At 38.2% G+C, this 26,318-nt stretch overlaps 1 protein-coding gene across 5 annotated transcripts in view; it reads left to right on the top strand.

Annotated features, from left to right (window-relative positions):
* Nucleotides 1-26,318, top strand: part of NUDT9 (nudix hydrolase 9) — a 36,883-nt gene that overhangs the window by 7,450 nt on the left and 3,115 nt on the right. For 3 of the 5 annotated variants that reach the window (NM_024047.5, NM_198038.3, XM_011532032.3), the window contains exons 2-7: nt 4,959-5,198; nt 8,255-8,350; nt 11,807-11,893; nt 19,120-19,231; nt 21,567-21,713; nt 24,349-24,433. In NM_024047.5, coding sequence (NP_076952.1) covers nt 4,959-5,198; nt 8,255-8,350; nt 11,807-11,893; nt 19,120-19,231; nt 21,567-21,713; nt 24,349-24,433 — 767 coding nt within the window. Of the gene's footprint in view, nt 1-4,958; nt 5,199-8,254; nt 8,351-11,806; nt 11,894-15,299; nt 15,486-19,119; nt 19,232-21,566; nt 21,714-24,348; nt 24,434-26,318 lie in introns of those variants that run through there. The other 2 variants (XR_007057928.1, NM_001248011.2) reach the window with 2 other exon arrangements.

Here is a 26,318-nt window from a genome sequence, read left to right on the forward strand (position 1 = left end):
GGTTAAGGACTTTGAGATGGGGAGAGCATCCTGGAAGGTGCGCCTGATTTAATTGAGAGTCCTTAAAAAATGGCCTGGCCGTGATCAAAGATATGATTACTAATACATGGTCAGAGAGATTTCTATGTTGCTGGCTTTGAAGATGATGGAAGGGGGCCATGAGCCACAGAATGCAGGTGGAATGAGGATTCCCTCTAGAAGCTGGGAAAGTATGGCAAATGGATTTTTCTCTTGAGCCTCCAGAGAGGAATGCAGCCCTGCTGATAAATTGTCTTTAGCTGAGTGAGACCTGTGTTGGACTTCTAACCTACAAAACTGTAAGACAATGAATTTTTATTGTCTTAAGTCATTGAATTTGTGGTGATTTGTTGTGGCTTCAGTAGAAAACTAATACATTATATACATGCACTGAAATGTGCTTATTTATTTTTTATGTCATTGCTTTATAAAAATAGTACCATATTATAGGACTTTACTGAATCTTTTTTCAGCAATGCCTTACAGAAATACAAATTGTTTGATGTCATTTTTTTTATTGCAAGTAAATTTCTCCACATCCTTGCCAATACTTATTTTCTGTATTGTTTTTTTGATAGTGGTCATTCTAATGGGTCTGAGGTAGTATCTCATTGTGGTTTTGACTTGCTTTTGTCTAATAATTAGTGGTATTGAGCATCTTTCCATGTGCTTATTGGCCATTTGTATATCTTCTTTGGAGAAATGTCTATTGGAGTCCTTTGCCCGTTTTTAAATTGGGTTGTTTTGTTGTTGTTGTGTGTAGGAGTTCTTTCTATATTCTGGATATAACCAACCCCTTATCAGACATGTGATTACCAAGTATCTTTTCCTGTTCCATGGGTTGCTTTTTCTCTCTTGATTGTGTCTTTTGATACCCAGAAGTTTTTCATCTTGATGTAATATATAGTCCAGCTTACCAATTTTTTCTCTTGTTGCTTGTACTTTTGGTGTCATATCCAGAAAATCATCACCAAATCCAGTGTCGTGAAATTTTGTCAGCATGTGTTCCTCTAAGATTTTGATCATTTTAGGTCTTATGTTTAGGTCTTTGACCCACTTTTAATTAATGTTTTTATATGGTGAAAGGTAAGGGTCAAACTTCATACTACTTTTGCATGTGAATATCCAATTTTCCTAGCACCATTTGTTGAAAAGACTGCCCTTTCCCTGTTGAAATGGTCTTGGTACCTTTGTCAAAAATTATTGTGAGGATTTATTTCTGGGTTCTACTTCTATTCCACTAGTCTATATGTCTTTCTGTATGCCAGTATCTCAGTGTTGTGATTACTATAGCTGTGTAGTAAGTGTGAGACCTTGAACTTGTTTCTCCCTTTCAAGATTGTCTTGGCTATTTGGGGTTCCTTGAGATTCCATATGAATTTTAAGGTAGAGTTTTCTCTTTCTGGAAAAACATCATTGGGATTTTGACAGAGATTGCATTGAATCTGCGGATAACTTTGAGTAGTATTGACATCTTAATATTTTTTTCCAGTCAATGAACATAGGATGTCTTTTTATTTATTGGTGTCTTTAATTTCTTTTAGCAATAGTTTGTAGTGTTCAGTGTATAAGAGTTTTGCTTCCTTAAGTTTATTCCTAAGTATTTTATTCTTTTCTATGCTATTGTAAGTAGAATTTTCTTAATGTTCCTTTTGGATTGTTAATTATTAGTGCTTTGTTTGTTTGTTTGTTTTTGAGATGGAGCCTTGATCTCGGCTTACTGCAACCTCCGCCTCTGGGGTTTAAGTGATTCTCCTGCCTCAGCTTCTCGAGTAGCTGGGATTACAGGCACACATCACCATGCCCGGCTAATTTTTGTATTTTTAGTAGAGACAGGGTTTCGCCATGTTGGCCGGGCTGGTCTTGAACTGCTGACCTCAGGTGATCCACTAGCCTCTGCCTTCTGAAGTGCTGAGATTACAGGCATGAGCCAGTGCACCCAGCATGTTAGTGTTTTTTAATGTAACCATTTTTGTGTGTTGATTCATACCTTGCAACTTTGCTGAATTCATTTATTAGTTCTAACAGTTTTTTCATGAATTATCTTGGGTTTTCTACATAAAACATCATGCGATGTGTAAATACAGGTTGAGTATCCCTTATCTAAAATGCTTGAGACCAGAGCGGTTTGGATTTCAGGTTTTGGAATATTCACATACACATAATGAGATGTCTTGGAGATGGGACTCAAGTCTAAACACAAAATTCATTTATGTTTTATATATACTTTAAACAGGTAGCCTGGAGATACTTTTATACAGTATTTTAAACTTGTGCCTGAAACAGTTTTGGTTGTGACCCATCACATGAAGCCAGGTGTGGAATTTTCTATTTGTGGCATCATATCAGCACTCAAAAAATTTCTGATTTTGGATTTTTGGATTAGGGATGCTCAACCAGTTTTACTTCTTCCTTTCCAATGTGGATACCTTTTCCTTTTTTTTTCTTTCCTAATTGTTCTGGCTAGAACTTCTATTTCTTTCCTAATTGCTCTGGCTGAACTTCCAGTATTATATTGATTAAAGTGAACATCCTTGTCTTGTTCCTGATCTTAGAGGAAAAACTTCCAGTCTTTCACCTTCACACCATTAGCTGTGGGCTTTTCATATATGGCCTTTATTATGTTGAGGTAATTTCCTTCTATTCCTAGTTTGTTGAATATTCTTAAATCGTGAAAGGGTGCTGAATTTTGTTAGATAATTTTTCTGCATCAATCAAGAAGATTGTGTTTTTTTTTTTTATTTTGTTAATGTGATACATTATGTTGATTGATTTTCATTATATAGAACCATCATTGGATTCCAAGAATGTCTCCCTTGGTCATGGCATATAATCCTTTTCATGTGCTGTTGAATTCTGTTTGTTATTATTTTGTTGAGGATTTTCACATCAGTATTAATCAAAGATAATGGTTTGTAGTTTTTTTATAGTGTCTTTGTCAAGCTTTAGTATCAGGATAATGCTGGCCTCAGAGTGAGTTTGGAAGTGTTTACTTCCTCTTCACGTTTTTGGAAGAGTTGAGGGAATATTGGTGTTGATTCTTCTTTAAATGTTTGGTAGAATTTATCAGTAAAGCCATCTGGTCCTGGGTTTTTCTTTGTTGGGAGTAAATAGATACTTTAAAAAAATTCACCTTTTAAAATTATTTATACAACCCCATCCAAACTTTACTACCTATCCTGCAATGTTTATTTTTTCCTTTATGGTCATCAGCCCATCCAAGATCATTGATTGCTTCTAATTGTCATGTCTTTTTAGTCTTAATCTATCTGGAAGAGTTCCTGCACCTTTCTCTATCTTTCATGACCTTACCAATTTAGAGAGTACACACCTTTATTCTGTAAGATGTCTCTTAACCTGGGTCTGTCTTGTGTTTCCTAATGTTCAGATTCATGTCATATATTTTTGGGAGAAATACCTCAAATGACTGTTGCATGCTTCTCACTGTATGAGATCAGGAGGCACATGCTGTTGACTTAGTCCACAACCTTGGTCAAGTGGATATTTGCCCCGTCAATCATTTGTCTTAAGAAGGGCAAATTGACTGGTATTGTGAGAGCAGGGGAAAGGAGCTATCATAATTTTACCATGTCCTCAGAATCTCCTTTCCCACTTGAGATGTCCTAATTTAAGGTCATCAAGAATTCGTATTTTAAGAATAATTAGAAGTCATTTAACTTTTTAGGCAAGATGAGATATGAAAAATTTTTGTATATGCTGTGTGGTTAGGGTGAAGGTTAGTTGGTTTTTCTTTTGCATATGCTATCCAGTTATTTCATGCCTGTATATTTTATTTAAATTTTGCTCTAAAGGTTACAATTTGTATATTTACCACAGTCTACCTTCAAATTATATTACATTAGTTCATTTTCAGTGTAAAAAATTTTTCAATAATTTCTATTTTCCTGTTTTTCCTTTGAACCATTTTTGCCATACGTTTTATGTGTATGTTAGACTATAGATGATTTTTAAAAAATATATTCCTTTACGTAGACTTTAAACAGTTTTCTTTTATATGTATATATATTTTTTGAGATGGAGTCTCGCTCTGTCGCCCAGGCTGGAGTGCAGTGCCACAATCTCGGCTCACTGCAACCTCCGCCTCCTGGGTTCAAGCAATTCTCCTGCCCCAGCCTCCCGAGTAGCTGGGATTCACCACACCTGGCTAATTTTTGTATCTTTTAGTAGAGACAGGGTTTCACCATGTTGAGCAGGCTGGTCTCGAACTCCTGACCTCAAGTGATCTGCCCTCCTTAGCCTCCCAAAGTGCTGGGATTACAGATATGAGCCACCACACCTGGCCTACACTTGTTTTTATGGTTTGAGTTTTCATAACAAACTTCCCCTTCCACAACAGATAACACACAAGTAAGTTTGTGTCCTTTTTTTTTTTTTTTTGTCTAAAATAAATTCAGTGAGTGGGTTCCAGCTAATAAGATTTAGCTATATGTTAAAAAAATGTATATTTGAAAATAATCTCTCATAGATGTTGGACCTTTAGACTAATATGCATCATATTTGAATTTTCTGATTCTTAAAGGTTTTTGAAATTGGAAAGTATGTTTTTGGGTCTTTGAATTAGGTTCTTTTTTTTTTTGCTTTTTTTTTGAGATGGAGTTTTCACTCCTGTTGCCCAGGTTGGAGTGCAATGGCGCGATGTCTCACTGCAACCTCTGCCTTCTGGGTTCAAGTGATTCTCTTGCCTCAGCCTCCCAAGTAGCTGGGATTACAGGCATATGCCACTAATTTTGTATTTTTAGTAGAGACGGCATTTCACCATGTTGGTCAGGCTGGTCTTGAACCCCTAACCTCAGGTGATCCACCTACCTCGGCCTCACAAAGTGCTGGGATTACAGGCGTAAGCCACTGCACCCGGCCTAGGTTCTTTAATTAATATATTTTTGGTATTTATGTAAAATGTTTTTCTTTTTCTCCCCCAGAAACTCGTTTTCATCTTCTTGGTTTCATCTTAATACCAACGTCATGTCTGGTTCTAATGGTTCCAAAGAAAATTCTCACAATAAGGCTCGGACGTCTCCTTACCCAGGTTCAAAAGTTGAACGAAGCCAGGTTCCTAATGAGAAAGTGGGCTGGCTTGTTGAGTGGCAAGACTATAAGCCTGTGGAATACACTGCAGTCTCTGTCTTGGCTGGACCCAGGTGGGCAGATCCTCAGATCAGGTGAGCAAATAAGACAGCGTTAGCTGGGAATAAGACTTTTAGAGAAGGTAATGGTTTTATTTGTAAAGTATCTTTTTGACACCTGAAAATAATTTCAATCTATGCTTAGCTGTGTTATAACTCAGTTTCCACATTTGCTTGAATTCTTGCCAAAGATAAACAGTTCATATTTGTTTATTCTTTTGGGGGTTTTATGAGGATACTTCCAAATAGTTAAATCTGTTTTGATTTGAAATAACAAATAGCATCAGCTATGTGTTATGAAATAACAGCTGGTACTGTTATATTTGTTTTGAAATAACAGCTGATGGTATTTGTTTTCATGTGTTCTATTTGGGTTATCAATAGAATATCCTTTGTGGTTATTTTCCAACATAGCTAGACTTGTGAAAATATTTTTCGGAAAATTCTCCAGGTTACTAAGAACAGGATGATGATAAACCAGTGTGAAAAAATAGAAAAGGGTTGGATAAAGGGGAGTGAGAGGGGGAGAATGAGAGAGAAGGGGCTCTCACTAAATTCATAGAAGTGCCGCATTGATTAACATTTTATGTTTATGTTTCTTTTTTATTTTCCAGCTTTATTGATATATGATTGACAAGTAACTATATATATTTAAGGTGTACAATGTGATATTTTGACATACATATACATTGTGAAGTGATTACAACAATCAAGCCATTTAAAATAATCTTACATGGTTACCTTTTTTGTGTGTGTAGTGAGAAGAGTTGAGATCCACTCTCAGCGAGTTTCAAGTATACAATACTGTATTATTACTATTTTTGAGACTGGTGCTCTCTCTCTCTGTCACCCAGGCTGGAGTACAGTGATGTGATCACAGCTTGCTCCAACCTTGAACTCCTGGGCTCAGGTGATTCTCCTGCCTCAGCCACCTGAGTAGCTAGGACTATGGGCATGTTCCACCATACTTGGCTAATTTTATTTTATTTTTAAGTAGAGATGGGGTCTCACTGTATTGTCCAGGCTGGACAAGAACAGTATTATTAACTGTAGTCACCACACTGTGCATTAGATCTCTAGAACTTACTCATTTTGCATAACTGAAACTTTGTACCCTTTGACCATCATCTCCCCATTTTTCCCATCCCTTTATGTTCCTTTTCTAACCCAGGGTGGAGTGCAGTGGTGTGATCATAGCTCACTGCAGCCTTGATCTCCTGGGCTCAAGTGATCCTCCCACTTCAGCCTCCTGAGCAGGTGGGACTACAGGTGTGTGCCACCATGCCTGGCTAACTTTTAAATTTTTAGCAGAGAAGAGTTCTCACTGTATCATCCAGTCTGGTCTCGAACTCCTGAGCTCAGGTGATCCTTCTGCCTTGGCCTCTCAAAGTGCTGGGATTACAGGCATGAGCCGGCACGCCTGGTGATTTTTTTAAAAGGGTGAATCTCTAGAGTCCCAAGGGCATTGCAGCTCTGGTTTTATAATTTCATGGTTTTTATCATTTAATTCTTTTTATTTGCATGTTAGATGGCAGATTGGCTAGAAGTCTTAAGAAAATGTATGGATCATTGAAATTGGAAATTATTCCCAAACAGACCACAGATATTTCTTTGCTCACTCAATGGAATTAAAGCAAGAAAAAAGTGAAACCTGTTTCAGAACTGCCCATGAACTATCCAGTGCTATGTAACTCTTTATTCACTGTCAGTGCAATTATGGCAGGGATTTTATAGTGGTGAGGAGAGTAGTTTAGTTATGTCTGTTTAAAAATGTTTTTGTTGGGCCAGGCACAGTGGCTCACGCCTGTAATCCCAGCACTTTGGGAGGCCGAGGCAGGCGGATCACTTGAGGTCAGGAGTTTGAGACCAGCTTGGCAAACATGATGAAACCCTGTGTATACCAAAAATATAAAAAATTAGCTGGGTATAGTGGCATGTTCCTGTAGTCCCAGCTACTCAGCAGGCTGAGGCAGGAGAGTCGCTTGAATCTGGGTGTTAGAGGTTGCAGTGAACCAAGATAATGCTACAGCATTCCAGCCTGGGTGACAGAACGAGACTCCATCTCAAAAAAAAAAAAAAAAAAAGAAAGAAAGAAAAAATAATTTTTTTTGTGGCATGATACAAATATAGTAAAGTGCACATTTCTTTATTTTTATTTTATTTATTTATTTTTCGAGATGGAGTCTCGCTCTGTCGCCCAGGCTGGAGTGCAGTGGCGCCATCTCGGCTCACTGGAAGCTCCACCTCCTGGGTTCACGCCATTCTCCTGCCTCAGCCTCCCGAGTAGCTGGGGCTACAGGTGCCCACCACCATGCCCAGCTAATTTTTTGTATTTTTTTAGTAGAGATGGGGTTCCACCATGTTAGCCAGGATGGTCTTGATCTCCTGACCTTGTGATCTGCCCACCTTGGCCTCCCAAAGTGCTGGGATTACAGGCGTGAGCCACCATGCCTGGCTGTAAAGTGCACATTTCTTACATGTGAAGGTGTGCAGCTCAGCAAAATTTTACATTTACATAGCTCTGTAAACCACTGCCCAGATCAAGATCTAGAACATTTCCAGCATAGTATGTCTGTTTTTAATTTACATCATATTTATTATGCAGCTTGTGGGGCAAATTCACTGCTTTGTGGGTTTACTCTGATAAGAATATTAATCAGTGTGCATTTGAAGAAATTTAAATTATTTTGAAATAGTAGAAACATCATCAGAAGGAATCTTATTTTTGGAATTACATGGGAGCAAATAGTTTTCATATTGTGCCCACAAACAATTCCTTCTTGCTAATAGACCTTCTTGTAGCATGAGGTAGGAGCTCTAGCTCTTCTGCTGGTAGTCCTTCCTGGAGGGGTTAGTAAGTTTAATAATAATATATATCTTTGTAATGTGTGGTGTTTTGGTTAAAACTTTTTTTTGCCTTAAAAATTGTTTTGAAGGAATAAGATGGATTTGTGAAAAAAAAAAAAAAACTAACCCTTAAAAATTTATTGTTTCAGGAATACTTCTTATGGATAACAGATTGACTTTCATTATTAAGCTGTTGGTAGTTTTGAATCATTATTTCTTATTTTACATTGGTATTCTCATTACAGTGAAAGTAATTTTTCTCCCAAGTTTAACGAAAAGGATGGGCATGTTGAGAGAAAGAGCAAGAATGGCCTGTATGAGATTGAAAATGGAAGACCGAGGTAGGTACTGGGAGCAGAGCATCTTACAATAATGAGTCACCAAAAAGTAGAAAAGATAGTTCATATTTATCAAATCCTTGTATGTGCCAGATGTTGTACAAATTTATTTACATATGTGATGTAATTAAATCTGCACAATAACCCTGTTGGTGGATATTTTTAATTGAATTTTACAGATAAGGGAAGAGAGTGTAAGCAATTTGTATACAGCTAGTAAGTGGCAGAGGCAGCGTTTGAATGCATCTTTTTGTAATTGTATCTTGGAAACAGAAATAATTGAATACATTAACAGAAAGAAAAATTGTTCAGCAGATATTTATTAAATGGTATAGTATCTTAAAGTAAGAATTTATCCAAACATGTAAGAGTAAAAATAAAGATAACCCAATAATTCGGGTCTTTCTATACTTTTTAAAAAATGATTTTCCTATACAACTCAAAAATTATCCATTTTCCTTAAGATATTATAAAAGTGTATCAGCCTGTTCTCACAGTGCTATACAGACATACCTGGCCGGGCGCAGTGGCTCACGCCTGTAATCCCAGCACTTTGGGAGGCTGAGGTGGGCGGATCCCCTAAGGTCAGGAGTTTAAGACCAGCCTGACCAACATGGAGAAACCCCATCTTTACTAAAGATAAAAAATTTAGCCAGGCGTGGTGGCGGGCACCTGTAATCCCAGCTACTCGGGAGGCTGAGGGAGGAGAATTGCTTGAACCGGGAGGCGGAGGTTGCGGTGGGCTGAGATTGCGCCACTGCACTCCAGCCTGGGCGACAGAGCGAGACTCCATCTCAAAAAAAAAAATAGACATACCCAAGACTGGGTAATGTATAAGGGAAAGAAGTTTAATTAACTTACAGTTCTGCATGGCTGGGGAGGCCTCAGGAAACCTACTGTCATGGTGGAAGGCAAGAGAGAAGCAAAGGTACATCTTACATGGCAACAGGTGACAGAGAGTGAATAAGTAAAGGGGGAAGAGCCCCTTATAAAACCATCAGATTGGCCAGGCACAGTGGCTCACACCTGTAATCCCAGCACTTTGGGAGGCCAAGGCGGGTGGATCACCTGAGATCAGGAGTTGAAGACCAGCCTGGCCAATATGGCAGAACCCTGTCTCTACTAAAAATACAAAAATTAGCTGGGCTTGGTGGCGGGTACCTGTAATTCCAGCTACTCGGGAGGCTGAGGCAGGAGAATCGCTTGAACCCAGGAGGCGGAGGTTGGAGTGAGCCAGGATTGTGCCGCTGCACTCCAGCCTGGGCAACAGAGTGAGACTCCATCTCAAAAAAACAAACAACAAAAAAACCATCAGCTCTCATGAGAACTCACTCACTATCATGAGAACAGCATGGAGAAACCGTCCCCCATGATCCAGTCACCTCCCACCAGGTTCTGCCCTCAATTTTCGAGAATTAAAATTTGAGGTGAGATTTGGGTGGAGTCACAGAGCCAAATCATATTAAAAAGTTAGAAAGAAGTGTAAAAATTAGCATGTACCAAATAAAACCAAAGAAGGATCACAGATTTGAAATCATGGTTATCATCTTATAAAAATGTTACACTTTGTATTCTTGGTTCCTGTAAGACAAGGAAATGGTAGTACTCCTCTCATCTCAACCTGGTCCTTCAGTTTTGCTAAGTTCTTTCTTTGGTCATAACTTATTCACCTTTCTATGTTATTGAGTCTTTTTAAGTCAAATTCTCCTTGCATTTGACTGATTCCTTAGGTTCTTTTATAGATACAATTATAAAAATATTATGAAAAGATAGGTAAGATATATAGATGGAAATGCAAGATAGATTGTTCTTTTAATGAAGTCTCTTTGACTAATAGAAACTAACTTTAGCTTGCCTGAGCAAAAGTAAAATTTATTTTAAGGCTATGCTATAGGAATGTCTCAAGGAGCTCAAAGCAAAAATGCAGCTAACTTGAGGAAAAGATGGAATTCGAAATCCATCAGGACTCTCTCTCTGCTTCATTTATGCTTTTGTCTATATTTTTGGCTTATTACTCTCTCTTTGCGAATAACCATCTGTGCTTTTCAGGTTTTAATATAGTCTGTGTGTCCATTCCAGTTTCCTGTTTCCAAGTTATGGTCTTGGTCATCTATACAAACTAATCTGTCTCTTTATGGTGGCCTTGATCACTTGTGTTCAGGGGTGTGTGGTTACATGGAATAAAATATGGTTGCAGGCCGGGCATGGTGGCTCACGCCTGTAATCCCAGCACTTTGGGAGGCTGAGGCGGGTGGATCGTGAGGTCAGGAGTTTGAGACCAGCCTGACCAACATGGTGAAACCCTGTCTCTACTAAAAATGCGAAAATTAGCTGGGCGTGGTGGTGCATGCCTGTAATCCCAGCTACTCAGGAGGCTGAGGCAGGAGAATTGCTTGAACCCGGGAGACGGAGGTTGCAGTGAGCTGAGATCATGCCACCGCACTCCAGCGTGGGTGACAGAGTGAGACTCTGTCTCAAAAAAAAAATATGTATATATATATATGGTTGCTGGCCACTCTGCCCCTCCTCCTGTGAATTTGGAAAGAATTATTGTCAGCTGGGCAGGTGTCTTGTCTCTTCTTTCTGTTGCTATTTGCAAGTCTTGCTGAAATATTTCTGAGTCTAGTACAAAAACAATATAAAAATTCATTCAATTTTAATAACAGTCACTGGGAAAAAAGAATAAAAAGAGATGGCAAAAAGGGAAATTTTGGCAAGTTGTTTATTTACTTTCATATAGTGGGAGGGCAAGAGATACAGCACCATGAAGTAGAATTACATGTTAGAACATTTTAGTAGTACATAATGAAAGTTGAACATTTAAAGAATGTTTACTGAAATAAAATGACACAGGCATGAGTATTGATAGGTTTCTCTGACAAATTTTTAACACTGGATTGTGGCATCAGGTTAAATAGTTGGCATTTTTATAAAATTGTATTTTAGTCTACTTGAAATCTATGAAATAGTAATACTAATACCTTATCATATGCTACAAATATATATTATTGATAATAAAAATCCAGAAACCATTGAGGAAAAAGGGATTTAATGTAACAGGGACAATTTTAATAGGAAGGGTTGTAGGAGAGTAGAGTAGGAAATGAGAATAATGAGAAAGTGAAGAGAGATCTAGGTGTTCCAGAAGAAACCAGGAACGTTCCAGTTTGAATTTAGGAGTATAGGTGAAAACTGAAACAAATCATCACATTGTAGAACCACTTGGGGTATGAGAGCCTCTTTCTGGATCAAGTTTAAAGCATATCACATGCGCAAAAGAAAAATTAAATAGCAGTGTCATGAAATACATGACTTCAGCACCAGATATGTGATAGTTCCATTGGATTTGTAAGGACTTATTCTGTCTTACTGCTTATGTTCTCTTCTTTTGGGTTATATCAAATCAGGTTAAAAAGATGAACACATTCAATTGATTTTATGCTTTTTTTGTTTTTCCAGAAATCCTGCAGGACGGACTGGACTGGTGGGCCGGGGGCTTTTGGGGCGATGGGGCCCAAATCACGCTGCAGATCCCATTATAACCAGGTAAGAACCAATAAAAAGCATATCAGTAGCAAAGAGCTAAGTGATAGAAAAATTGCAGACTGTAGCTATGTTTGTGTATATATGTATACCTGTGTGTATATACATATGTATGTGTTTGTATATATATGTATGTATACAGTCATGCATTGCTTAACAATGAGGACACGTTCTGAGAAATGCATTATTAGGTGATTTTGTTGTTGTGTGAACATCATAGAGTATATTTACATAAAACTAGATTGTGTAGGTGCAATTGTATAAGTAGTATACACCTATGCCATATGCTATAGCCTATTGCTCTTAGGCTACAAGCCTGTACAGCATGTTACTGTACTGAATACTATAGGCAACTGTAACACAATTGTAAGTGTATGTATATCTAAACATAGGGAAAGTAGGTAAAAACACGATATAAAAGATAAAAAACCATACACCTGTTTTGGGCACTTACCCTGAATGGAGCTTATAGGACTGGAAGTTGATCTGGGTGAGTCAGTGAGTGGTGAGTGAACATGAAAGCCTAAGACATTACTGTCCCCTATTGTAGAGTTTATAAACACTGCATACTTAGGCTACACCAAATTTATAAAAAATATTTTCATTTTGTTAATAATAAATTGACCTTAACTTACTGTAACTTCTTTATAAACTTAAACATTTTTAAAACCTTTTTGGCTTTTTTATAGTAACAGCTTAAAACACATCATGCAACTGTACAAAAATAGTTTCTTTTGTTACCTCCTTATTCTGTGCACTTTTTTTAATTTAAAAAAAGTTGTTTCTTCTGTTTGTTTTTAAACTGTTTGTTAAAAACTAAGACACAAACACACACATTAGCCTATGGCTATACAAGGTCAGGATCATCAATATCACTGTTTTCCACCTCCACATCTTGTCCCACTGGAAAGTTGTCAGGGGCAGTAATATGCATGGAGCTGTCATCTCCTATGATAATAACGCCTTCCTCTTGAATATCTCCTGAATGACCTGCCTGAGGCTGTTTTACAGTTAACTTTTTTTATAAGTAGAAGGAATATACTCTAAAATAATGATAAAAAGTACAGTATAGTAAATACATAAGCCAGTAACATAGTCACTTATTATCAAGTATTATATACTGTATGTGATTGTACTCTTATGACTGGCAGTGCAGTAGGTTTGTTTACGTCAGCATCACCACAAGCATGTGAGTAATGCATTGGGTGAGGATATTGACAATGGCTTATGACATCATTAGGTGATAGGAATGTTTCAGCTCCATTGTAATCTTATGGGACCACCGTTGCATATGTGGTCTGTTATTGACCAAAACATCATTATGTGGCACGACTATACACACACACACATGCCTGCACATGTATATTACATAAATATGCATGCAGATGTATATATAATTGATATTTTAAAGAGACTTTATATAAAATCATAGTGATGCGATGTAAGTATAAAGCTGTACTTATATGAGTAGGTTAGGCATTATATAAAGAAGGTAAATTCTATTTATGCATCTATTTATTGAACATCTATTTGTTCTCAGCATTGAGTAGGCACTTTGGTAAATATAAAAAATTCTAAGAATCCTAAGCTGGTTCTCTGTCACTGAAGAGCAATGGCTTTAGTTGCAAGATGGAAAATGTGAAGTAAGAAAACATGTTAAATGTGATCAAATAATATGGGTGATTCAGGATGCTTTAGAAGATTAGAAGATTGGATGTGGGTCATGACTGTGGTAAACTAGTGCACCCAAGAAAGGCTTTATAAAGCAGGTAGATTTGAGCTGAACTTGAACCTTGGGTAGGGAGACAGCAGGAAGCCTAAGAAAAGGGTTTGTAGTAATATCTGAGTAGAGACCAGCTTGGTTGAAACAGAATATTCTTGTAGAAGAGTAGTGGGCGAAAAATGAAACTTAAAGTTAATTTTTGTGCAGTTTTATTGTGGAGAATTTTAAATGCCAAAGTTAGGAGTATGGACTGGAGCCATTGAAGGTTTCAGAACGGGGGAGAGGCATTCTCTTCCGAGGCAGACCTATGTGGTAAGCCAAATCATATTCAAGTCTCTTGATGAGCATGAATCAGAATTAAGAAGGTCAGTGAATCTAATGTTTAGATATGCTTAGCTATCTCCACAGGAATCATCTTTCTAATGTACCTGAAATATTGTCATATTTGTCATCCTTTTAATTTTTATTTTTTTACTTTTAGAATTTCTTTGCTGACCATCTGTCTCCCCACGTGGAATTGTCATGTTCTTTCTTTAAATAATGCAAATATCCTCATATTGTTACTTTCTTAGTTTTGATATTTTGGGGGCTTTTCTTCAAGGAGACTCTGTTTTTCTTTGATCTGAGATATAATAATAATTTGATAGTTTAACTCTTTATATATTTTTTTATTTTCAAGTTACTGGAAGAGGCACCCATTCTCACCCGGTCTTATTTTCTTACTTGCCCTCTTGATTCTCCTGCCAAAAAGGATCTTTACCCAACCCCAAATTTTATCTTCCCTCCATCCATCCATCCACTTACTCACCCATTCACCTACCTACTTACTTAACTACTGATCAGCCTACCTCTCCATCCACATACTGTTAGAACCTCTATGGTTTAAATGAGATGGAAAGAGTTAATAAAAAAAATATTAATGGCAGTGTTAGTTTCTGATTTTGGTGAAGCTGGCTAAAAACAGGAAGGTATGAAATGTTTGAAACAGGAATGTAATGCTAGTAAGGGGACAAGAGCAGAAAAGGGAAGCCAGAGTTTTGAAGGTTAGAATCTAGTTAGCTTATCTTTATCTATGGTGGACCCAATAGTGGCTGGGAGTATACATGGTGATTGTGTATCAAGTTGTTTTGAAATGGTAGACTTTTTTAGCTTAACTTTGTCATACAGATAAGAGAACTGAAGGCTTAGAGATGGTCCGAGGCTATAAGAGAGCCCACAGGTGGCAGAGTCTGGCTTTCAACTGTACTCTTAAGTTGATGTTCTTTGTTATCTCAATAATGCATTAATTAATAATTAATAGTAATGCATTAATTAATAAATTGATGAGTTCCTCTAAATAGATGAGAGGCAGCAGAAATGGAACAGAGAAGAATGAAAGATGTTGAAGGAAGATTCAAGCCTTAGATGAATTGTTAAAAGTATTCTACTTTTAGACTAGTCTATTCCAGGCATCCTGTCAGTGCTATCATTAGTTTTTCTATTTGTTTTTCACAGAAGCCCCTCCAAGTAGGTATTGATATATCTATTTTGAGGATTTGAAAATAGAGACTCACTGGGGTTAAGTTACTTGCCTAAATGTTGTAGATCTGACATCTGAATCAGGGGTAAGTGGCTTTAAATACTGTACTTTTTCTGTTACACCACTAGTGAGTCTTTACTATACTGTACTTTTTATCATTGTTTTAGAGTATATTCATTCTACTGGAGAATCACCCAGGCACTTTCAGAGCCAAGATTTCACCCCCCTTTCTTTCAAGTATGCACTTCATGATTCAAAACAGCGTTGTTCAGGATTTCATAAACTTTTTCAGAAGCTCCGGGGCAGGTGTTAAATTTTCGGATTCCCAGGCATCTCTCCTAGAGATTGTCCAGGTACAATTATCAAAAGTTTCTTCAGATCCTCTAGAGTCAAAATGAGTTGGGAAGTGTTAATATATTATTGTGAATAAATTCAGGTCAAACAATTGATGACAATTTCATTTTCTGTTCACTTTTGGTTAAAGACAGGAAGGTACATACTGTTAGAACTGGGGAGGGAATAGCAATAGGGCATAGAAATATTACTGATATTCAGTAAATGTTTATTAGGTTCGTCAATTAAAATGATGTATTAGTTCTGTTAGATCAAGAAATTTTGTTTTAAAATTGGTGATAATGTATTTAATACTAATAAATAATATAGCAAGAAGCTACTCTGCTTAAAATCCATACATTTGTCCTTCAGAATAAAATCTGAGAACATATGCAAGCTGCTGATCATCTCTCTGATCCTGCCTTCTCCCCAGTAGCATCTCTCTCTTTTTTTTTTTTTTTGAGATGGGTCTTGCTATGTTACCCTGGCTGGTCTTGAACTCCTGATCTCAAGCAGTCCTCCCACCTCGGCTTCCCAAAGTGCTAAGATTACAGGCAGGAGCCACCACACTACACCTGGCCAGTGGCCAGCATCTCTCTCTATTCTGTTTCTCATCCTTGTTTCATAGTCACAACTGGCTGGCTGAAGAGCAGTAGCTGTATTGAGTCTTTGTTTTCCCAGCTCCTTGCATGTGATGTGTAGTAGGTGCCAGTAAATGTTTATGAGTGAACATAGCCACCATTTGCCTTCTTATCTTTCCTTTTTTTTTTTTTTTTTTTAAGACAGATTCTAGCTCTGTCGCCCAGGCTGGAGTGTAGTGGTGCTATCTCGGCTCACTGCAACCTCCAAGTGATTCTCCTGCTTCAGCCTCCCAAGTAGCTGGGACTATAGGTGCACACCACCCCGCCCAGCTAATTTTTTGTATTTAGTAGAGACAGGGTTTCACCATGTTGGCCAGGATGGTCTTGATCTCTTGACTTCGTGATCTGCCTGCCTCGGCCTCTCAAAGTGCTGGGATTACAGGCGTGGGCCACTGCTCCTGGCCGTCTTTCCTCTTATCTAATTAGTGTAAACATTCTGCTTGTTCAGTTTAAGTAGATAGTATAGTAATTAAGAACACAGATTCTGGAACCAGATTGTCCAGGTTCAAAGTTGTGTTTACGCCCTTGTTAACACTGTAGTCTTGGGGAAGTTACCTAACTTTTCTGTGCCTCATTTTCCATATCTGTAAAATAAAGATAATAAAACAACTATGTTATAGGGTTGTTTTGAGGCTTAAATGGATAAATACATTAAAGCACTTAGAACAGTGTTTTATATATATATAATAAATGCTATCTAAATGGCTTTTAGAAAATAAAAATAAAATCCATACTGTCTTCTGTCCTGTCATCATCTTTTACCTGGATCATAGTAGTAGCCTCCCAGCTGATCTTCTTGAGTCCAGTCTTGCTTTCCTCCAGACCAACATACATGCTTTTGTCAAAGTGAGTGAGCTTTCTAAAATACAAACTGGTTATGGTTTTACCCTGCTTAAAAACACTCTCTGGCTCTCTAAGTAAACGAATTAGATGAATCTTGTCGTATAAGCCTGTTGCCCACTTTTCTGGTCTATCTTTTCCCTCACTGATGCCCATGGTGCTAGACCCCATATGAACATTCAGTTTCTTGAACACATTATTTTATTTTATGACTTTGTTTCTTGCTTATGTATTCCCCTTTCTGGCATTTTAAAAACAGATGTGCCCTCTTGTACTAATTATTATTTCATTTCTGTTTAATATACTCATCAAACTATCACCCTTCTGCTAATTTAGAGCCACTGCTAGACTATGAGCTCTTTCATGGGAGGAACTAGATATGGTAGATATGGTAGTCAGCTACTATATAAGGAAATTTGGAAACTCATATGCATACTAATATTTTATTGGGTTTCATCCAGAGTAATACTTATATCATAGACCTTCTTTTTTGGTTTAGCATTGGAAGTTTTTTTTTTTTTTGTTTTGTTTTGTTTTGCCTGAGAGATCATTAGGACAATTCCTAAAATTGGGCTAGAGGTTGATATGGAGGTGAGGAAGGGGAAGGGGAGATTTATTAATATCAACATCTCTGGCAAAGAGAGTGTGGTTAGAAAAAGTGTATTCTGAAACTAACATTGCCTTGATACTTTCTACAAAACCCATAAGCAATTCAATTTAAAATATAAAATAAAAGGATAGAGTTTTTTTTGTTTATCAAATCAGAGGGCATAAAGATTGAGAAGCAGGGCCGGGTGGCTTACACCTGTAATTGCAGCACTTTGGGATGCCGAGGTGGGAGGATGGCTTGAGGCCAGGAGTTCAAGACCAGCTGGGTAACATAGCAGGAGACCCCATTTGTAAAACAAAAAAAATTAGCTGGGCATGGTGGCCCACGCCTGTAGTCCTAGCTACACAGGAGGCTGAGACAGGAGGATTGCTTGAGCCCAGGAGTTTAAGGTTACAGTGAACTATGATTGCACCACTGTACTCTAGCCTTGGTGACAGAGCAAGACCCTGTCTTTTTAAAAAAAAAAAAAAAAAGATTGAGAAGTACTGCTTTTGACACCAGCTAAACTGGGTCATATAATCTGCTTTTCTCTTAGCACAGGGTGAACTGTTAAAAGCAAATTTTTTTTTTTTTTTTTTTTTTTTGAGATGGAGTCTCACTCTGTCATCCAGGCTGGAGTGTAATGGCACGATCTTTGCTCACTGCAGCCTCTGCCTCCTGGGTTCAAGTGATTCTCCTGCCTCAGCCTCCTGAGTAGCTAGGACTACAGGCACCCATCATCATGCCTAGCTAATTTTTGTATTTTTGTAGAAACAGGGCTTCACCATGTTGGCCAGGCTGGTCTTGAACTGCTGACCTCAGGTGATCCACCCACCTTGGCCTCCCAAAGTGCTGGGATTTCAGGTGTGAGTCACCACGCCTGGCCCAAAGCAAATCTTACCATGCCTTTTTCACTACCAGTAATTTTTTTTTTCTTATTTTTAGATAGGCCCTCTCTCTGTCGCCCAAGCTGGAGTGTAGTGGCACCATCTTATCTCAGTGCAACCTTAAACTCCTGGGTACAGTGACCCTTCTGCCTCAGTCTCCCAAGTAGCTAGGACTATAGGTGCATGCCACTGCACCCAGCTAATTTTTTATTTTTTGTAGAGATGAGGTCTTCCGTTGTTGCCCATCCTGGTCTTGAACTCCTGAGCTCAAGCAATTCTCCCAAAGTGTTGGGATTACAAGTGCGAGACACTGCGCCTGGCAACTACCAGTAATTTTTAAAAGGGGATTCGTAAACTTATTTTTTAAAAAACTTTGATAACCTTTTCTTTAAATTCTATTCTGCTACTTCTTTTTTTGTTAATACTTTAAGTAGTAAAAATTGTTTATATCCTGAATTTTCATTACAGATAATGTAGTGTCTTTTATGTAATGTAGACATTTGTCCTGGTTTGTAACAGTGATGAATATAGAATATTTCCAGTAAAAATCAATAGTTTTAAATAAAACTAGCTGATTTGAGATAAATTTATATATACTCTGCTTTAAAGAAAAAGTCCTTGTAACTTTATCTCAAGTTTGAGATAGAACCTTAGTTTTTGTTGTAAATCCGTTATGATTTTATATTACTATTCACAGATGGAAAAGGGATAGCAGTGGAAATAAAATCATGCATCCTGTTTCTGGGAAGCATATCTTACAATTTGTTGCAATAAAAAGGAAAGACTGTGGAGAATGGGCAATCCCAGGGGTAAGCATTAAAATTAAATTAGTGTTTAAGTTCCTTTTAGTTGCTTTACTTACTACAGGGTTATTGTTTGTGAATCTTTTCTATTCCATTTTCCTCTATTCCTTCCCACTTCATTTAGTAATTCTTATGTTTTTCATCCCTGCATGAAGTGTCATTGTCAGCAACAAGTTTAGGATAATCCAAGACTGTTAGAATCTGCGTGTAATTCTGACACCTTTGGGAAATAACGTGGGCTTTGAAGTTAGATGTAGGTCTGTGTTCTGGCCGTTCTACTTGCAGCTGGGTGATTGGGAGTTCAGGCCCTCATCTTTAAAATAAAGAGATCTACTTCACAGGATTATTAGAGATCACATTTAATAGGCATTCATTATGTTGGGTCCCATTTCAGAATTTAACCTCCACTCCAAGCCCAAGGTAGTATTTTTAAGCACTTTTTGGTTGAATTCTGATAACTTTTGACAATATTTAAAAAATTAGCTTTTGTTATTTACTGTTCTGTGTAGTTTAAATAATTTCTATAATGTTATCAAGATGAGTATACTTTTGTTGGCTTGTAGTTTGAATTTATGGCAGTGGTATATTTGAAGTGGCCATTTATTTTTTATTTTTTATTTATTTATTTATTTTGAGACAGAGTCTCACTCTGTTGCCCAGGCTGGAGTGCATTGGCGCAATCTTGGCTCATTGCAACCTTTGCCTCCTGGGTTCATGCAATTCTTGTGCCTCAGTCTCCCAACGTAGCTGGGATTACAAGTGTGTGCCGCTATGCCTGGCTAATTTTTGTAATTTTAGTAGAGACAGGTTTCACTGCGTTGGCCAGGCTGGTCTCGAACTCCTGGCCTCAAGCAATCTGCCTGCCCCGGGGCCTCCCAAAGTGCTGGGATTACAGGTGTGAGCCACCACACCTGGCCTGAAGTGGCCGTTTAAAATGTTTATGTGTGTGGTAGAGGGTTTTATATTTTATACCATATTGTGAAATGGAGATAGTTTGATATGAGGATGACTCTTTATAAAAACATACAGTTGTCTGCAAGAATGTTTTTTTCTGTGTAGAATAAAAATGAGTGGAAATAAGGATCTCAGCCGACTCTGATAAAAGTTTAGGCTAATTTCTTTTTCTTTTTCTTTTTTTTTTTTTTTTTTTTGAGACGGAGTCTCACTCTGTTGCCCGGCTGGAGTGCAATGGCATGATCTCAGCTTACTGCAGCCTCCACCTCCTGGGTTCAAGCAATTCCCTGCCTCAGCCTCCCGAGTAGCTGGGATTATAGGCGACCACCACCACACCTAGCTAATTTTTGTATTTTTAGTAGAGACAGGGTTTCACCATCTTGGCCAGGCTGGTCTTGAACTCCTGACCTCGTGATCCACCCACCCTGACCTCCCAAAGTGCTGGGATTACAGGCATGAGCCACTGTGCTTGGTGAACTTTAGGCTAATTTCTATGAGCCAAATAGTCAAACTTCACTTAGGTTGAAAGCAATAACGTAATAATGATTTCATCATAGAATCTTGCATTTTTATTGTTATTTAAAATTCTTATCAGGAAACTGCTGTCATTGTTATCATTTTGACAGTTATTCATCTAATCAGTGTATTTTTAGTATCTTCCTTTTGTCAGCTAATATTTTAGACACTGAGAATACAACAGAGCAACATGAACAAATAACCTCTGTCTTTTGGTGCTCCCATTCCAGTTGGAGAGACAGATAATATAAGATACATAAGTTAAATATATCGCATGTTAGAAGGCAGTAAGTATTAAGAAACAAAAGCAAGGTAGAGGACTAGGAAGTGTTTGAGAGTTTGCGATTTTAGACAGGGCAGTTAAGAGAAGACCTCCCTGAGGAGGTGCATGTTAGGTAACTATCTGAAGGAAATGAATTAGTGAACCATGCAGATATCTAGAGAAAAGCATCTTGGATAGAGATAATAGCAGGTACAAAGGCTCTCAGCGGGCAGCATGTTAGGCAGGTCCTGGGAACATTGAGGAGGTCAGTGTGGCTGGAATGGAATGAACAATGGGGGAAGAATCAATGTGCTGTGTTATTTCTAACCTCCAGTCCTTTTTCCTTAGTTCGAGTTTGGCAAGTACCAGGAAATTGGTTTGATTGCCATAGGCTAACCTTGGACCAATCACTGTGGCCAAATACATGAGGTATCCTTATTGGCTCCTTCTACTAGCAACAGATGGTTTAGAGAACAGTGTATCACAGAGAAATGGGGATCACTATTATAGGCAGATTGAATAATAAATGTTCACTCTACTACTCAATAAATATTTGTTGAACAAATCAAAGCTGATCCCTTTTTTCAAAATTTTTAATGTGACTCTTAGGGGATGGTGGATCCAGGAGAGAAGATTAGTGCCACACTGAAAAGAGAATTTGGTGAGGAAGCTCTCAACTCCTTACAGAAAACCAGTGCTGAGAAGAGAGAAATAGAGGAAAAGTTGCACAAACTCTTCAGCCAAGACCACCTAGTGGTAAGAAATAGTGTTTCTGGGAGGGATTTAGTTCTGTGGATTGATGAAAATGACTTAAAAGTTGACCTGGAAATCTGTATGTCCTTCTCTAAATAAAGTGGAATACTTGTATATTTAAAATATATTCACAAAAACAAATTACAGATCTTCACTGTAAATAGGTTTCTATTTAAAGTTTTATAGCCCAACTTTAGGCTATATAGGCTAAAATGATATATATTTAGTTCATTTATATCATTTATTATAATAACTTTTTTCTTCTTAGTTTTTCTTTCTTTTTTTTTTGAGATGGAGTCTCGCTCTGTCACCCAGGCTGGAGTGCAGTGGCACGATCTTGGCTTACTGCAACCTTCACCTCCCAGGTTCAAGCAATTCTCCTGCCTCAGCCTCTGGAGTAGCTGGGATTACAGGCTTCCACCACCACGCCCGGCTAATTTTTGTATTTTTAGTAGAGACAGGGTTTCACCATGTTGGCCAGGCTGGCCTTGAACTCCTGACTTCAGGTTACCTGCCCGCCTCGGCCTCCCAAAGTGCTGGGATTACAGGTGTAAGCCAACACGCCTGGCCTGTAAACTATTTTCTTTCACGTTGAGTACCCATCCAACAGAAAGCTTTTTGTATGTGCATGAATTCAGCTCTCTCTGAAAGAACATTTACATTTTAAATTATGTCATACAGAGATTTTTCTGGTTGATAATCATTTAAGTCTCATGTCTGTTTTGTCCATATACCCTCTGTGATAGGGTCTTGCTCTGTTGTTCAGGCTGGAGTGCAGTGGTGTTATGGCTCACTGCAGTTTTGACCTCTTGGGCTCCTGTGATCCTCCCACGTCAGTCTTCTGGGTAGCTGGGACCACAGGCAAACACCACCGCACTGGGCTAATTTTTTGTTTTTTGTTTTATAGAGATGGGGTTTTACCATGTTGTCCAGGCTGGTCTTGAACTCCTGGGCTGAAGGATCCCCCCACCTCGACCTCCCAAAGTGCTAGGATTACAGGTGTGAGCCTGGCATTCCGTGCTTTTAAAAAAATACCTTACAAGGTATATGCACACTAATAATAAGAAAATAACAGAGTTTTTTTTTTTTTTTTTTTTGAGATGAAGTCTCGCTCTTGTCCCCAGGCTGGAGTGCAATGGCGCGATCTCGGCTCACTGCAACCTCTGCCTCCCAGGTTCAAGTGATTCTCCTGCCTCAGCCTCCAGAGTAGCTGGGATTACAAGCATGTGCCACCATGCCTGACTAATTTTTGTATTTTTAGTAGTGACGGGGTTTCACCATGTTGGCCAGGCAGGTCTTGAACTCTTGACCTCAGGTGATCCGCCTGCCTCGGCCTCCCAAAGTCCTGGGATTACAGGCGTGAGCCACCGCACCCGGCCTTTTTTTGGTCAGTTTTTATTTGGATTGCTTGTTTTCTTTTCAGAATTGGGATTTAGTTATTTATGTTGTCCAGATTTTTTTGAGTTACGTTTGTGCTAGATGAATAGATCCAAATATCTTCATATATTAATAGCTTAAGTAGTAATCTTTAGTTTTATTTATAGATCTCCTTTGTTTAACTAGAAGAATCTACCTTTGTATTTCAGAAACTATAATCACAGAAAAATACTTAAGTGATGGACTCTTAAAAAATCATATTGCCCAAATTTGACTGTTCTCAGATTCTGAAATTAGAGTTTGAAGTGTTGAGGGTTTCATGATTTATTTATTTGTTTTGAGACAGTGTCTGGCTCTGTCACCAGGCTGGAGTGCAGTGATGCGATCTCGGCTCACTGCAACCTCTGCCTCACGGGTTCATGCGATTCTCCTGCCTCAGCCTCCTGAGTAGCTGGGACTACAGGTGTTCTCCACCATGCCCAGCTAATTTTTGTGTTTTTAGTAGAGACGAGGTTTCACCATGTTGGCCAGGATGGTCTTGATCTCTTGACCTCATGATCCGCCCACCTCCGCCTCCCAAAGTGCTGGTATTACAGGCATGAGCCACCACGCCTGGCCTGAGGGTTTCATGATTTTTAAAGCTGCCTCAAAAGAGAATATTGTTCTTTGGGAAATTTGAAACAAGCACATGAAGTACTACATTAAAAGTTTTATGATATTTACATTTCTTTCTTTTTTTCTTTCTTTCTTTCTTTTTTTTTTTTTTTGAGACAGAGTCTCGCTGTGTTGCCCAGGCTGGAGTGCAGTGGCGCGATCTTGGCTCACTGCTACCTCCACCTCCTGGGTTCAAGTAATTTCTCCTGTCTTAGCCTCCCGAGTAGCCGGGACTACAGGCACCTACCACCATGCATGGCTAATTTTTTTTGTATTTTTAGTAGAGACAGGGTTTCACCTTGTTGGTCAGGCTGGTCTCGAACTCCTGACCTCAGGTGATCCACCCGCCTCAGCCTCCCAAAGTGCTGCGATTACAGGCGTGAGCCACCGCGCCCGGCTATTTACATTTCTTTAAAAAAATTTTGATAGAAACACATAATGTCAAATTTACCATCTAAACTGTTGAAGGTACAGCTCAGTAGCATTAAGTATGTTCATGTTGTTGGGCAACAGGATATTTACATTTCTGATGCTAGTGAAGGTAACATGCTCTGCTGTACTCACTACACCTTGGACTTTTAAAAAATTTGTCTTCTTTTGAAAATAGATATATAAGGGATATGTTGATGATCCTCGAAACACTGATAATGCATGGATGGAGACAGAAGCTGTGAACTACCATGACGAAACAGGTAACTTTATATTTATTAAACTGGCTGGGATTAAAGGATCAATTTAAGCCATTAGCCCACTAAGGCATGATTAAATCTGGACTATTTAGCATCTTAAACCAATTAACTGTTGATTGTAGGACTGTAGTTATATGAAAGCAAAATTGTTGGTATTAAAGGAATACATAGAAGAAATCTTCAAAACTTTTATCACCAGTGACTAAATTTTCTTTAATCCATTGGTAACATTTGAAATTAAGGATGAAATTATGGGCTAAAATGATATGCTTTAAAGATGTCAGATTATTTATTGAGTATAGTTCCCTTTTTTTGCAAAACAAAAGCAACTGGGATTTGGGTAGGAAGTATGGCAATGATAAAGGAAATGGGATTTATATCTTACTATTTCAAATATTTTTATAATAATCTTGGATTGTTAATACACAAAGCAATAACAAAAAATTCCAAGTACTGAAAAAATTTTAAATGAATGCTGTTTCTGGTGTATGGAATTTAAAATTTTATGAGGAGGGTCAAACCTGTTATTACAGAAGGAGAAAGGAAAAATCTGCTGTCTTAAAAATTAATTTGGTCTTAATGTACACATTGAATGGCTCCCTTGAAACATATTTTATTGCTAAATTTGATTTGTTTTTATTTGTAGCATAAAAGTGGGGGCACCATGCTAGAGAAATGAAATGAATGTTCCACTCATAGTTCTTTCTGAGCTGTGTAACCTTGTACAAATCATTTGTCCTCTTGGACTCAGTTTTTTCACTTACAAAATGGGCTAGAACTAGATCTGTCATTTCCATATCCTGTGCTTTTGCTTGTTGAACTTGGAGGAAACTCCTGGGACCATTTTCTATTCCTGTATTTCCACTAAGGTGTATTAGAAGAGTTTATCCTAGTATGAAAACTTAGAAGAAATATGCAGATGTAAATTAGAAGCAGGTCTGTACAACTTTAGTACTGATAAATTTGTTAACTACTTTAAAGTTTTGGAGTTAAAAACAATGACTGATCCTCCAGAAGTTGATTATAGAGTTTATGGATTGTTCACTGTTTTTACCCTATCTTTTTCTCTCTTTAAACTTAAAAAATTTTGTTTTGATAATTCCAAAATCTCTGCCATATTTGAGTTCGGTTTTAATATTTGCTTTGTTTCTTTAGGCTATGTTTTTTGCCTTTTAGCGTGCTTTTAGTGCTTTTTTTTCTTTTTTCTTTTTTTTTTTTTTTAACCCCGAGATGGAGTCTTGCTCTGTCACCCACGCTGGAGTGCAGTGGCATGATAATGGCTCACTGCAACCTCTGCCTCTCGGGTTCAGGCGATTCTCCTGCCTCAGACTCTCAAGTAGCTGGTACTACAGGCATGCACCACCATGCCTGGCTAATTTTTGTATTTTTAGTAGAGATGGGGTTTCACCATGTTGGCCAGGCTGGTCTCAAACTCCTTACTTCAGGTAATCCACCCACCTTGGCCTCCCAAAGTGCTGGGATTACAGTCATGAGCCACTGCGCCTGGCTGTAGTGCTTTTTTGAAAATTGACCATGATATAACTTGTAAGGGAACTAAGGCAAATAGTTCTTTAGCGTGAGGTTTTATGTTTATCTGGCTAGGAGTTAGGCTGTGTTTTTTGTTTGCTGTCATTGTATGTGTCAGAGGCTAAAATTTCCTCTAGTTTTGGGTTTCCCTGGAGACTTATTAAATGAGGTCTGAAGCATGCCCTTCTTTCAGCTGTCTTCCCCTTTTATTAAACAGGAGTCCTATTGATAGATATGGTGGTAAATTCTAGAGGAAGGGGAATCATAGGAGAATATATGGTTAGATGTCAGTCTTTTAGTGAGCCTGTGGCCCTGGGCTGTGACCCTTCATATGTTATTCTCAGCTTCCCTCCTTCCTCCC

This window comes from Homo sapiens, chromosome 4, assembly GCF_000001405.40.
Source record: "Homo sapiens chromosome 4, GRCh38.p14 Primary Assembly".
NCBI classification, from domain to species: domain Eukaryota; kingdom Metazoa; phylum Chordata; class Mammalia; order Primates; family Hominidae; genus Homo; species Homo sapiens.